The sequence below is a fragment of the Homo sapiens genome, chromosome 7 (genome assembly GCF_000001405.40).
Source record: "Homo sapiens chromosome 7, GRCh38.p14 Primary Assembly".
Lineage (NCBI taxonomy): Eukaryota > Metazoa > Chordata > Mammalia > Primates > Hominidae > Homo > Homo sapiens.
The window spans coordinates 40,155,238-40,170,282 of NC_000007.14; the positions used below are offsets into that span (position 1 = coordinate 40,155,238).

Here is a 15,045-nt window from a genome sequence, read left to right on the forward strand (position 1 = left end):
TTGCGCCACTGCACTCCAGCCTGGGCAACAGGGCGAGACCCCATCTCAAAAAAAAAAAAAATAGCAGACACATTGGTATTTGAGGTGTGGGACCCACAAAGCAAATTAAAAGAAATGTTTTCTTCCAGTGAAAAAAAAAAAAAGGACAAATGAAGAACTGGGATGATGCATGTGAGCTTATGGTGGCTGTCCTCTGAGCTAAGGGAAAAGGACACTGCTCGTTTTTGTGAGCAACATAGGTATGGTTCCCACAAAAAGATCCTTGTAGCACTGTTGAAGGAGGCCCAACATTAGAAGACAAGATCCTGGATAAGGCAGTGCTTTTAGGAAATATGCTTCCAGTGGCTAGGGGCTATCTTCAAGTGACATTGTATACAGAAGACATCATCAGACAAAAAAACCATCAAGGAACATTTGAGCACCCAAGCCTCTTGGGGAGCCCCATAAATAATTGGTTATTATTGTTAATAATTGGTTATTAATGATGTGGTGGTGTGTGTTTAGAAGTTCTGCTTTAATGCAAGTAAGGGTAACAAGACAAGAAAATTTAAGTATAAATGTAAATGGGACCTTGTCTATTTCTGTGAGGCTGAGGATTTTTACTTAGGATACCTAAGATTTTTTTTTTTTTTTTTTTTGAGATAGAGTCTCCCTCTGTAGCCCAGGCTAGAGTGCAGCGGCACAATCCTGGCTCACTGCAACCTCCACCTCCGGGGTTCAAGCCATTCTCCTGCCTCAGCTTCTGAGTATCTGGGATCACAGGTGTACGCCACCATGCCCGGCTAATTTTTGTGTTTTTAGTAGGGACGGGGTTTCACCATGTTGGCCAGGCTGGTCTCGAACTCCTGACCTGAAGTGATCCACCTGCCTCAGCCTACCAAAGTGTTGGGATTACAGGTGTGAGCCACTGTGCCTGGTCTAGGATACCTAAGATTTTTAGTGCTGACTGGGCGTGGTGGCTCACACCTATAATCCCAGAACTTTGGAAGGCCAAGGTAGGCGGATCACGAGGTCAGGAGATCGAGAGCATCCTGGCTAACACAGTGAAACCCCGTCTCTACTAAAAATACAAAAAATTAGCCCGGCGTGGTGAAGGGCACCTGTAGTCGCAGCTACTCAGGAGGCTGAGGCAGGAGAATGGCGTGAACCCGGGAGGTGGAGCTTGCAGTGAACCGAGATCACGCTACTGCACTCCAGCCTGGGCGACAGAGTGAGACTCTGCCTCAAAGAAATAGAAGATTTTTAGTGCCTTGTCTTAAAAAACTACACTTGGAAGCCCAATATATGAGCAAATGGGCTGTATTCAAAGGAGGAATTGGAGTCCCAGAGCCCTGCTCACTCTGTACTCCTATTTTAACTACCCTCCTACCCCTTCACCACCTCTGAGGTGGTGGCTCCTGGTGGCACCTCTGAGGAATTCCCAAGGCTCTGCAGAAAGGGTTTGAAAGCCACTATTTTAGGTAGATGTCAGGTATTAACCAGTGCTACAAATAGAAATTGTTGGTTAGTTTCACTATGTGTTATTAAGAAGTAAATATTGGCTGGACATGGTGGTTTACTTGAGGTCAGGAGTTCGAGACCAGCCTGGCCAACGTGGTGAAACCCCCGTCTCTACTAAAAATACAGAAATTAGCCGGGCGTGTTGGCACACATCTGTAAACCCAGCTACTCAGAGGCTGAGGTACGAGAATCGCTTGAACTCGGGAGGCAGAGCTTGCAGTGAGCCGAGATGGCACCACTGTACTTCAGCCTGGGTGACAGAGCAAGACTGTCTCAAAAAAAAAAAAAAAAGGTAAATATTTTCATGTTTCTGCATGGTCAGGGCTTTCTGAGCATAGAAAAGTAGAACCTGGGTTAAAAGACAAGCCTTGGAAGTTAAAAGATGACTTAAGGGATATAAAACCCAGAGTGTTGGAGGCATTCCCAAGATCGTAAACCCAGTAACGCTTATCTTACCTTCTCCTGGAGACATTTATTTATGTTCCAAAGGGTAAGATCCCAGGGATCTTCCCCTTTTCTTCCCAAGCAGAATTTGCTTACCATAGGTAGATTGCTTTCTTTCACTTTCTCAGGCGAAGGCGGCAGCTGGGCAGTTATCCTGTACAAACCTACAGATTCAAAATTTTGGGATTCTTCTCCTGTGGTTCAACCCTTACCTATCAATGGGTTTTCATTGCATTGTCTATGGGGTATTAGGTATGGGAAAATGATGTATGTCTTGACTTAAGTAATAATAACTCTGATCTCTGCTCCAGAAACTTTGTGTTTACTTTCAGGTTACAAGAATGAATCAATATAGAGATTAAAAACTTAAATATTTTTAATGTAAAATACTTCTTAGGAGAATATACTTAATAATTTCTCTGTACAGAAATGATTGTATGTATACTTCAGGTTTAAGCTTTACCTTAGTATTCCTAAAACTTTTCAGATTATATCAGTTTTCCTTATAGAGGTGCTTATTGTTAGCTGTTTCATGTTAAAGGCTACTAATAGTGGAAAAGTAAATGCTTCTGTAGGATGTGATTAGCTCACTCGTTGATAGGGTTAGACCTGCACTGAACACAGTAGATTGCTTAACTGTCACTTAAATAATGATCTCATTGATAAAGGGAGAATTAGAAGTGGCTTGTTTTAAAGGGTTTCCGAGAGTCAAATTCTACTGCTTCATTAAAATGTGGTATTTTGGGGCCAGGCACAGTTGCTCACGCCTGTAATGCCAGCACTTTGGGAGGCTGAGGCAGGCAGATCACGAGGTCAAGAGTTCAAGACCAGCCTGGCCAACATGGTGGAATCCCGTCTTTATTAAAAATACAAAAATTAGCCAGGTATGGTTGTGCGTGTCTGTAATCCCAGCTACTCAGGAGGCTGAGGCAGGAGATTGAACCCGGGAGGTGGAGGTTGCAGTGAGCCGAGAGCGTACCACTGCACTCCAGCCTGGGTGACAGAGCAAGACTCTGTATCCAAAAAAAAAAAATGTGATATTTTCATTTCCAATTATGCAAGGTAGTCAAGCACAAGAGAAATGTTTTATACATATTTACTTCTTTGTAGACTAATATTCCTCACCCAAGTGTAACACAGGTATTAATGCATTAAGTTATGCTTATAAAAGTTTTTCACTGAAAATAATAAAATTGCTGACAGATTATTTCTATATGAAGAGACATAGAGTAGGAATATTGTTTTCTAGATACAAGACTAAAAGTTTATTTAAAAATGAGTAAATATGGCTGAGTGTGGTGGCTCACGCCTGTAATCCCAGCACTTTGGGAGGCCGAGGCAGGCAGATCACCTGAGGTCAGAAGTTCAAGACCAGCCTGACCAATGTAGTGAAACCCATCTCTACTAAAAATACAAAAATTAGCCGGGCGTGGTGGCATGTGCCTGTAGGCCGAACTACTCGGGAGGCTGAGACAGGAGAATTGCTTGAACCCGGGGGGCAGAGGTTGCAGTGAGCTGAGATTGTGCCACTTCACTCCAGCCTGGGTAACAGAGTGAGAGTCTGTCTCAAATAAATAAATAAGTAAAATAAATAAATAAAATGAGTAAATAAAATTTTTATGTCCCTAGCATTTACATATTTGTATTTTTTCAATTGTTAAAATGATGGATACATTTTGCAAAAAATGTGAAATATTTAGGAAAACAGAAAGCAAGGAAAAATAGAGATCTCTTTTTAAAATTGTATTTCTTGAGACAGGGTCTGGCTCTATTGCCTAGGATGAAGTGCAGTGGCATGATCACAGCTCATTGCAGCCTTGACCTCACTGGCTCAAGTGATCCTCCTACCTCAGCCTGCTGAGTAGCTGGGATTACAGGCATGTGCCACCAGGCTTGACTAATTTTTTTGTATTTTTTTTATAGAGACAGGGTTTCCTCATATTGCTGAGGCCGGTCTCCAATTCCTGTGCTCAAGTGATCCGCCTGCCTTGGCATCCCAAAGTGCTGGGATTATAGGTGTGAGCCACCACGCCTGGCCAGATAATTTCTTTATGTCCGGTTTTTACACAGATGTGGCAGAGAGACAATTGGAGTAGTATTTTTAGGTTTTGTGGCTGGCATTGGCGAAAAGAGGTCTGGTTTCTGTGACCCTTCTTAGGGAAGAGGGATTCTAGTTTTTTTTAATTGTTGTCGTTGTTTGTTTGTTTTGAGACTGAGTCTCGCTGTGTTGCCAGGCTGGAGTGCAGTGATATGATATCGGCTCACTACAATCTCTGCCTCCTGGGTTCAAGCGATTCCCCTGCCTCAGCCTCCTGAGTAGCTGGGACTACAGGCACGCACCACCACGCCTGGCTAATTTTTCTTATTTTAGTAGAGACGAGGATTCACCATGTTGGCCAGGATGGTCTCGATCTCCTGACCTTGTTATCTGCCCACCTCGGCCTCCCAAAGTGCTGGAATTACAGGTGTGAGCCACCGTGCCTGGCCGGATTCTAGTTTTTATAGCTATCCTCAGAGGAGCATGGGACTGAGAGATAGGAAGGCAGGAGGTCAGAGAAAAACTTTGGCTTCTGAGGCTGCTGTGATGCCTACATTTTGGGTGTGGCTTCTGTGCCTCAACAATGGTAAACACCTACCTTTCTTCTGGGAGGGAGTCTGGAATTGTGCTACATGGTATGCAGAGAGTGCCTATGTAAATAGTCTTCAGTGAAAACCTAGGTTCTGAGTCTCTAATGGGTTTCCCTGGGCAGAAACTTTGTGTGTTTCTATATCTATTTTTTGTTGTTGCTGGAGAAAGAAGCATGCTTGATATGGCCTTCCATGAGAGCAAAAGAACATAAGCAGCCTCTGCATGGCATGAATTTTTTCCATCTCTACCTGTGTCTTTTCCTCTTGTTGGTCCTGTCATATGTCATTTTGCTGTAGTAAACCTTAGCTCTGTATACAACCAGATGGTTAGGTCCTGTGGATCCTCCTAGCAAATCACTGAAAATATGGGTGGTCTTGGGAAACCCTGAAACAATTCCAAAGGCAGAAACCATAAAATAATTTTTTTCTTTTTTTTTGAGATGGAGACCCGCTTTGTCGCCCAGGATGGAGTGCAGTGGTATGATCTCGGCTCACTGCAACCTCTTGCTCCCGGGTTCAAGCGATTCTTCTGCCTCAGCCTCCCAAGTAGCTGGGATTACAGGCATACGCCACCATGCCCGGCTAATTTTTGTGTTTTTAGTAGAGACGGAGTTTCACCATGTTGGTCAGGCTGGTCTCAAGCTCCTGACCTCAGGTGATCCACCCTCCTTGGCTTTCTAAAGTGCTGGGATTACAGGCGTGAGCCACCATGCCCAGATGAAATGATTTTTTTAAAACATGAAATCTTAAAACACCTTTGAAAAGTGAAGAGCAGATAGGGAAAAATTACTTTTACTAAATATGACTGATAAAAGATTAATATTCTTAGTGTATGTATAATTCATATAAACCTATAAGAAAAAGATAAATGTGCATGTAGAAATATGGACCAACATCAAGAATAATTTATAAGAGAAGATATAAAAAGAGCAGATTTAAAAGATGTTCAATTTCAGAAGTCATTAAATAAGTACAAATTAAAATAATAGTGACATGCAAATTTTTAACTGTTAGGTTGCAGCAAACAAACAAAAACTCCACAAACCCAGGAGATTATGTTTAGGGTTATGGAAGATGATAGAGAACATGATTTTCATAGCATACTGATATATACACACACACACATATATATAATATTATATATACCCTTTTTGGTGGACGGTTTGATAATATGTATTAAGAGTATTAAGGAATTCATAACATGAATATGGCTAGGCCACTTTAAAGCCTACCTCTGTCTTTGGAAGCAAGTTCTTTGCTTCCCCTTCTCTATCTCCAAAAACTCTGAAAGCACTAAAGACTAATTTTTACCTTTACTACCTGAAGAGAAGTCTCTGGGAGGATACCTTAGTCCAGCACATAGAAATTTCTAAACTTCTCTCCAGACATTTCTCTTGCTCTTCAGAGTTGCTCACTGGAAGCTGTTAAAAACAAAATCAAATCATAAAACAAATCTCTCACATATGTATCGCCCCCACGTTTCTTCCAAGCTGCCTCTTCCTTTCCCTTCTATTCCTCCGTGTTAAATATCTAAACTATTCCATGGAATGGGCTCTCTCTATATTTTTTTGTGTCAAGAGGCTCTTTGTATTCACACTCTTAACACTGCAACACTCCACTGTCTTCATCCACCCCATGCATATTTTTTTTGCTGTGACAATTATAATTCTCCTTAAGTACCTATGAAGTTGTTTGATCAACCAACCTAGAATGGTCACTACTTTGCCAGTTTTCCCCTGGATGGGATGCATTTTTCTTGTTTGCACTAAAGTCTTCCTTTTGGTCAGTCTTCTCCGTAGGAGAATCACGTCACCAATGTTGAGAAATTCCAGGGATCTTTTGGGTTTGTGAGCATTCTTATATTGAATAGTAATTTGCAGTGATCATTTCCCCTCCAGTTTCTGGTTCAATCCCTTCTAATCCTCTGGACAGCTAACTTCAGGATGGCCCGTTAAAGAAGCCTGAACACCTAAGTTTTTTCCTTTGACTTGTTGACTTTTGGTTGTGCATTCTATAACTGTAGGTTGATTTATAAAATCTATAAATTGGTACCATTTTGTACCCTTCCACATACCAATTTGAGGTGATTTTCTTTTTTATTTTTTTGAGACAGACTCTTGCTCTGTCACCAGGCTGGAGTGCAGTGGTGCGATCTTGGCTCATTGCAACCTCCGCCTCCCGGGTTCAAGCCATTCTCCTGCCTCAGCCTCCCAAGTAGCTGGGATTACAGGCGCCCACCACTATGCCCAGCTAATTTTTTGTATTTTTAGTAGAGACGGGGTTTCACCATGTTGGGCAGGATGGTCTCGATCTCCTGACCTCGTGATCCGCCCGCCTCGGCCTCCCAAAGCTCTGGGATTACAGGCATGAGCTACCGCGCCCGGCCGTGAAGTGATTTTCAAATCCTAAATGATTTGAAAAGGAATTATTTGCATATTTTAAGTTGATATTTTAAAGTTGTCATCGCTTATGTAAATTTTATACTGTAAACCAAGGTGAGAATAAGATCTGGGATATGTTAGGAATCTGCTTTCCTTTGCCTTGTAGGAGAAGGCTTATTGTGAAAGAAGGCTTACTTACAGGTTGATCAATTGTAGGAAAGAATACCTATGGAAGTTGAAGATCTGGAAATTGATTTACTGAAATGATTCATGCATCCCTTAGGCAAGTATTTTCCTTTTTTGTTAGACAGGGTCTTCCTCTGTTGCCCAGGCTGGAGTGCAGTGATGCCATCATAGCTCATTGCAGCCTTGACCTGCTGGGCTCAAGTGATCCTTCCACGTCAGCCTCCTGAGTAGCTGGGACCACAGGCATGCACCATCATTCCCAGCTGACTTTTTTACTTTTTATTTTTATTTGGCAAAGATGGCATCTTGCTATGTTGTGCTGGTTGGTCTCAAACTCCAGGGCTCAAGTGACACTCCCACCTTGGCCTTCCAAATGTTGGGATTACAGATGTGAGTCACCTCGCCCAGCCCTTAGGGAATTCTTCACATATTCCAATTTGAAGATTGCCACTAAAAGGACAGTGAAACAGTCTACCCTGAAATAGACATCCTAGTTGTTGATGGTGGTAACTCATTCAGAACTCATGCTGCCTCTGATGCCTGGCATCTTTATTGGGCAGGACTGGCGGGGTTGTGCTGCAGTACAAATTAGCCCAATCTCAGTTGCTCAATACAATAAAAACATCTTACATGTGTAGCTACACTATTTGAAATTTGTGGGCTCTAAGGAGAGTAGAGGCCTGGAGGATTTCATGGGGTGTTTTTAAAGGTCAGAGTTGGAAATGGCTTTTATTATTTTTGCCTGTGTTTCACTGGCAAGATCGAAGTCATTTGACTCCAACATAATTGCAAGAGAAGCTGGAAAATGTGGAAGAGCAGTGAGATTTGGGATTAGCACTGAGTTGTACTTTGATTGTGACATGCTTTAACCATGATTCAAAAGTTCTTTTTCTGGCCTTTTTGTACTATCTGCAAATTTCTCAAGCTTTTATTAAAAAAGTAGTGTTGGCTGGGCATAGTTGCTCACACCTGTAATCCCAGCACTTTGGGAGGTCGAGGTGGGCAGATTACAAGGTCAGGAGATCAAGACCATCCTGGCTAACACGGTGAAACCCCATCTCTACTACAAATACAAAAAATTAGCCGGGCGTGGTGGCGCGCACCTGTAGTCCCAGCTACTCGGGAGGCTGAGGCAGGAGAAACACTTGAACTGTGGAGGCGGAGGATGCAGTGAGCTGAGATCGCGCCACTGCACTCCAGCCTGGGTGATAGAGCGAGACTCTGTCTCAGAAAAAAAAAAAAAAAGCAGGTTATTATATAATATCTAGCACAGATTAGTTTTTTTGAACAAAAATGGTGCATCTGTGTATGCAGCCACCCACTTGTCTATCTCTGAAAGGATTTATACCCAAAACACTACCAATTATTACCTTTAAGTGACGAAAAAATGAGTGATTTCAATTTTGTCAATTTTCTTTAGCTCTATTTTCTTAATTTTTTGAATTGAATTTTTTTTTTTTTTTTAGACAGAGTCTAGCTCTGTCACCCAGACTGAAGGGCAGTGGCATGATCTCAGCTCACTGCAGTCTCCACGTCCTGGGTTTGAGCAATTCTTCTGCCTCAGTCTCCCAGATAGCTGGGACTGCAGGCATGCACCACCACACCCAGTTAATTTTTGTATTTTAGTAGAGATGGGGTTTCACTAGTTGGCCAGGATGGTCTCGAACTCCTGGCCTCAGGCGATCTGTCCACCTCGGCCCCCCAAAGTCCTGGGATTATAGGCGTGAGCCACCATGCCTGACCCTTGACTTTTTTTTTTTTTTTTGAGACGGAGTCTCGTTCTGTCATGCAGACTGGAGTGCAGTGGCGCAATATTGGCTTGCTTACTGCAACCTTCTCCTCCTGGGTTCAAGCGATTCTCCTGCCTCAGCCTCCCAAGTAGCAGGGACTACAGGCACCTTCCACCATGCCCAGCTAATTTTTTTGTATTTTTAGTAGAGATGAGGTTTCACCATATTGGCCAAGCTGGTCTCAAACTGCTGACCTTGTGATCTGCCTGCCTTGGCCTCCCAAAGTGCTGGGATTACAGGCATGAGCCACTGCGCCCGGCCTGAATTGTTTATGTAAAGAGAAAACATGGAAATTAATTGCAAAAGTTGAGGATTTTTTTTTCTGTTTTTGTTGTGTCTCTGTATTTACTTTATTAATGTAACAGAGGCTTCAGAAAATTAATATTAATTAGTTGAATTGGAAGGTGAATTCCTATTTTGTTTTTTATTATGCATAAACATTTGATGCTGAAAATTCATGTCCCCTCTGCCTCCAGAGATTTCAGAAAAAGAAATCTAATTAAAAATTATCATCTCGATGTGATTCTTTTGTGAGTGATTGTGTTAAAGAGGAATAAAGTGGATGATGATGAGACAATAATTAATCCGTCAATACATACTCATGAATTTCCATGATGAACAGAATTGAAGCCTCCTTGAGTCCATGAAGATCTTTTACTCTCCTTTTCCACGAACCTCATTTCTTATTTCCCATGAACCTAGAAATTGAAAACAATTATTGCCTGCTGACTCCCAAATTATTATTTCCCTGGAATGTCTTCCAGTGGATACTAATTTTCCAGGTACCCTCCACTCCTAAAATTTCCTATCAAACTAGGTTGTTAGGAACAGAGCTTCTTCTGTGACTTCAGACACATGCTGGAAAGGAAACATCATGCTAACTATTATAGATAAAGCTTCAGCAGATTAAGAGAGCATGCTTTGAAGAGAGGCCCATTTTCTGCCTCCTCATGCATAAGGTCTGGTGGTTAAATTCTCTGTAAATCATCAAATTAAAAAATTATTTTGGTGTATATCACAGGTTTCTGTTTCATATTGCTATTTGAGCAGTTTGTTTTGTGACTTGGCCTTTAAGAATTTTTTTTTAATCTCAATAGTTGGCTAGTATGGGTGGGAAGGGATGCCATGATTCCTGTCACACAGATGAACCACTTGTGTGGGCATCTGTCAATTATCCCTGCTCTGGTGTTGCTCAAGTTTATTTGTGTCGTCTAAACCCCAGGGCCAAGTACCAGGGGAGTCCTACCAAGCAGCTTTGGCAAGCATAGAATTGATGGCAGCTTCATTATAATTATACTTCTTTGCATGGTTGACCAGCTGTATCATCATAATAGCTTTCCATACTAGAGGCCAAAAAGACAGAGAGATATACAAGCTGCTCAATATATTTCAACAAATTACATTACAATTTATGCCTTTTCCAACTGTTTCATGCCTTGTAATCATCCCCTACTCCCACCCAGCCCATCAGTTCTTTCAGAAATATGCAAAATTTGACTCTAGATATACTTTTTAAGTATAGCGCATTAAGAAGTGATTTTTTTCCTGTTCCTTAGAATAATCATATGTTTATCTTTTCTTGTTTTCAAACAAGAAGTTATTTGCTGTAATAGATCATGTGACTGTATAATACATATATGATAATGATGATAATCATAACAATTGCAGGCCAGGTGTGGTGGGTGGCTCATGCCTATGACCGCAGAACTTTGGGAGGCCGAGGCTGGTGGATCACTTAAGATCAGGAATTAAAGACCAGCCTGGCCAATATGGTGAAACCCCATCTCTACAAAAAATATATAAAAATTTGCTGGATGTGGTGGCACACGCCTGTAATCCCAGCTACTCAGGAGGCTGAGGCAGGAGAATCACTTGAACCCGGGAGGTGGAGGTTGCAGGGAGCCGAGATTGTGCCTCTGCACTCCAGCCTGGGTGACAGAGCTAGACTCCATCTTTAAAAAAATAAAAATAACAATTGCAGCTTTTAGTGGCATTTACTTTATGCTGGGGGTATACTAAACACTTTATATACAACATTTCATTTAAAACTTGCAAACTCCATGAGACAGGTGCTTCAGATGAGGAAAGGGAAGCTTTGAGAAGTGGAGTTACCTCATGCAATGTCACTGAGCTCTTATATAGTAGAGCAGGGAGTCGAATCCAGGCAGTCTGACTTTTAATGATTTAAAACTCACTCATTCATTTTGACTTAAATATACTCTAGAAGTCCTTTCTGAGTGTCTTATCAGATAATAAAATTCCATTACCTGATATTAAATGAATTCAATTTACAAGTTTTTGTTTCATTAAATGGCCAACTATTTACATGAAATGATATTCAACATCATTAGTCATGAGTGAGATGCAAATTAAAACCCCAACAAGAAACCTTTATACGCCCATTCAAACAGCTAACATTAAAAAATAAACAATTCCATGGCTGGGCATGGTGGCTCCCACCTGTAATCCCAGCATTTTGGGAGGCTGAGGCAGGCAGATCACCTGAGGTCAGGAGTTTGAGAGCAGCCTAGCCTACATGATGAAACCCTGTCTCCACTAAAAATACAAAAATTAGTCAGGCATGGTGGTGGGTGCCTGTAATTCCAGCTACTTGGGAGGCTGAGGCAGAAGAATTGCTTGAACCCAGGAGGTGGAGGTTGCAGTGAGCCGAGATTGCGCCACTGCACTCCAGCCTGGGTGACAGAGTGAGACTCCACCTCAAAAAAAAAAAAAAAAAGAACAATTCCTATCTTTCAAAGATATGGAACATATGGAACTCTTATACAGTGTGGTATAAGCATTTTAGAAATCTGTTTAGACAGTTTCTTAAAAAGCTATACATGCACTTACCATATAACTCAGCCATTCCGCTAAGTATTTACACAAGAGAAATGAAGACATGTTCTCACAAAGATTTGTACACAAATGTTCACAGCATCTTGATTCACTGTAGCCTAAAAACCAATTCAGTGTCCGTCAACAGCTGAATGTATAAACAAATGTGGTATATCCATACAGTAGAGTGTACTCATAAAAATGCAACAATGTGATGAAACTCAGAATCATTATGCTTAAAGAGAGAAGCCAGACACAAAAATACATACTGTTTTTCATTTATATAAAATTCTAGATAATGAAAATTAAATTATAGTGACAGAAAGCAGATCAGTGGATGTCTGAAGCTGGAAATTGAGGAAGAGGTAGTTTGCAAAGGGCAGGTGGAAAGTTTTAGGTGCTAGAAAGTTCTCTTTCTTGATTGTGGAGGTGATTTTGTTACAGGTGGGTCTTTGTTCTTAGAGCTCCCAAGATGGTGGCAGGCTGCTCCTAAGATGGAGTGGGCTGCTCCCAAGATGGCGGCAAGCCTTTTGTTCTCTGACCTGGGGTTCTTGACCTCACGGATTCCAAGGAATGGAACCTAGGGCCATGCAGTGAGTGTTATACCTCTATTATAAGCTGTGGGTCACGGAAGAGAACTGTGGAACCCAGTGACTAATGTTCAGCTTGATTAGGATGAACCTGGGCACTTAGCAATGCAGGAACAATGGTGAGCCTTTAGCCCAGTCGAGAGCGGCAATGGGTGCCTCACTGGATCAGAAACACAGCGGACACCCTGCCAGATCTGGAGGGGTGGAAGTCAGCGGCGGGTCTGCGACAGCAGCAAACAGCAGTGGTGGAGAGTGAGCCAAAGCTCAGTTTGAGCTATAAAAATCACGGACCAGAAGAGTGTGCAGTTGCAAGATTTAATAGAGTGAAAACAGAGCTCTCATACAATGGGAGGGGACCCAAAGGGGGTTGCCCACTCCCGGCTCAAATGCCTGGGGTTTATATCCCAATCATTGTCCCTTCCCCTGTGCTCTCAGGCGATATATGATTTGACTTATTTCTTTACCTCCTGCTTTTAGCCTAATTTGTATTTTAGTGAGCCCTCTTTACTACCTGATTGGTTGGATGTGAGCTGAGTTAGAAGCCCCGTGTTTAAAGGTGGGTGTGGTCACCTTCCCAGCTAGTCTTAGGAATTCTTAGTTGGACTAGGAAATCCAGCTAGTCCTGTCTCTCAGTACCCCCCAACAGGAAAACCCAAGTGCTGTAGGGGAGGTTGGCCAATGACCACTCTAACTGCTTCCTGCTGAATTGGGGCGTAGTAGGGGTCATGCAGTTGAGATTTCCTCAGGAGGGGTGCCTTCGGTGTCATCAACATCATAGCATGTGCTAGCAGGCTGGTCCAGGGGTCCGTGGTAGATCTTAGTCATGAACTGCATCTGGGGCTCTATTTGAAGAACAATTTGTAGTTTTACAGCTTCACAGCTTCTATTCTGGAAGAGATAAACTTAACAAGGAGGTTAAAGATACAGGGATTGAAATGTATGGCCTGCAGTGCAAAGTGCAGGGGATTATTTCTTCAGCACACTTCACAGGCCCTGACTATCTGCTTGACAGTTTTTAAAAGGCCTGGTCCAGTAAATAATGATTTGGCCATCTGATGGGTGCTATCAATGCCTAAGTGAAAGGTTTGGTGAAGGGTTTTAAGTAATTTCCATTGGTTAGCTGCAGGCAAAAGTATTTTTCCTTCTTCGGCGGCTAGCCATCCTGAGGGGAGGAAACTATTTTCTCTTGAGATTCCCCATTCTATTTCTTCTGCCGAGTACTGGGGCTTGGTTTCCTGGAGGGGATTACCCCATACTCTAGGGGTCCTTCTATAAGCATTTCTAATGGATGGTCCCGCCTTGCGGATCTTTTGGCTTCGGTATCTGCTTGGTGGTTCCCTTCTATTTCCCTTTTCTTTCCTTTCTGATGACCCCAGCAGTGTAAGACTACCACCTCTTTAGGTTTCTGTACAGCCAATAATAATCTCCTAATGGCTTCCTGATATTTGATAGGTGTTCCCTCGGAAGTTAGGAATTCCCTTTCTCTCCATATTGCTGTGTGGGCATGGAGGACTAGGTAAGCACACTTAGAGTCTGTATATATATTTACCCTTTTTCCTTCTCCTAATTATAGTGTAAAATGGCCCCTGCTTTTGCTAGGATGTCTCTCCCTAACAAAGTGGGGCTTTCAGGCATAATTAGAAAGCCATGTGAAAAGAGTAAAGTTCCCCAGTCACAACTTAGTGGCTGGGAGAAGTATCTAGTGACTGCCTGTCCTAGGACCCCTAGGATAGTGACAGATCTGGAGGACAGTTGTCCGGGACAGGAGAGTAAGACTGAGAAGAATGTGCCAGTGTCCAGGAGACAGTTAACTTCCTGGCCATTAATGGTCAAGCATACCTGGGGCTCTGTGAGGGTGATGGCATAGGCTGGCACTTGCCCTGGGCACCCTCAGTCCTGCTGCTGGATCATCTGGTTAGTGGCTTCTGACTCAGGACTGTCCCCTAGGGCAGTGGGCCTTCCAGTGATTCCCTTGACATAATAGACATGGACGAAGGGGAGGCTTATTTCTATTCGGACAATCTTTTTTAAAATGTCCTTGTGGACTGCACTGGAAGCAAGCCCTATTAGGCATTTGATTTGCCCAGCCTTTCGCTTTTCCAAAGCCTCCAAAGTCCGTTTGCCTGAGGGCCACAACTAAGTGGTGGCCTTTTTTTTTTTTATCCCATTTGTCCCATTCTGCCTGCTCCTCCTGATCTCTATTATAAAAACTGAGGTTGCCAAGTTCAATAGGGTTTCTAAGTTTTGCTCCGGGCCTAACGTGGACTTCTGAAGTTTTTTCCTAATGTCTGCAACTGACTGAGTGATAAACTTATCCTTTAAGATTAGTTGACCTTCAATAGAGTCAGGTGACAGAGAGCTATGCTTCCTCAATGCCTCCCTTAGTCTCTCCAGAAAGGCAGTCTCTCTTCTTTTCCTTGTGTTATAGTGGACATCATTGAATAATTTATAGGCTTCTTCCTAATTTTCCTTAGTCCTTCTGGCATGCAAGTTAGCAAATGTCTGTGGCACCAATCTCCATGTTCTGATTCTGTGTCCCAATGAGGGTCTACAGTGGGAACTGCCTGCTGGCCTGTGGGGAATAATTCTCTTTCCTCTGTTGTCATCCTATCATTGACCTGACTGAGATACCAGAGATCGCCAGACTCTCGGGCTGCAGTTACGGCGGCACTTCTCTCATTTGGGGTTAGT

At 42.6% G+C, this 15,045-nt stretch overlaps 1 protein-coding gene across 18 annotated transcripts in view; it reads left to right on the top strand.

The window, feature by feature from the left end:
* The window catches only part of SUGCT (succinyl-CoA:glutarate-CoA transferase), a 903,812-nt gene that overhangs the window by 20,233 nt on the left and 868,534 nt on the right, over positions 1-15,045 (top strand). The window lies entirely within an intron of this gene.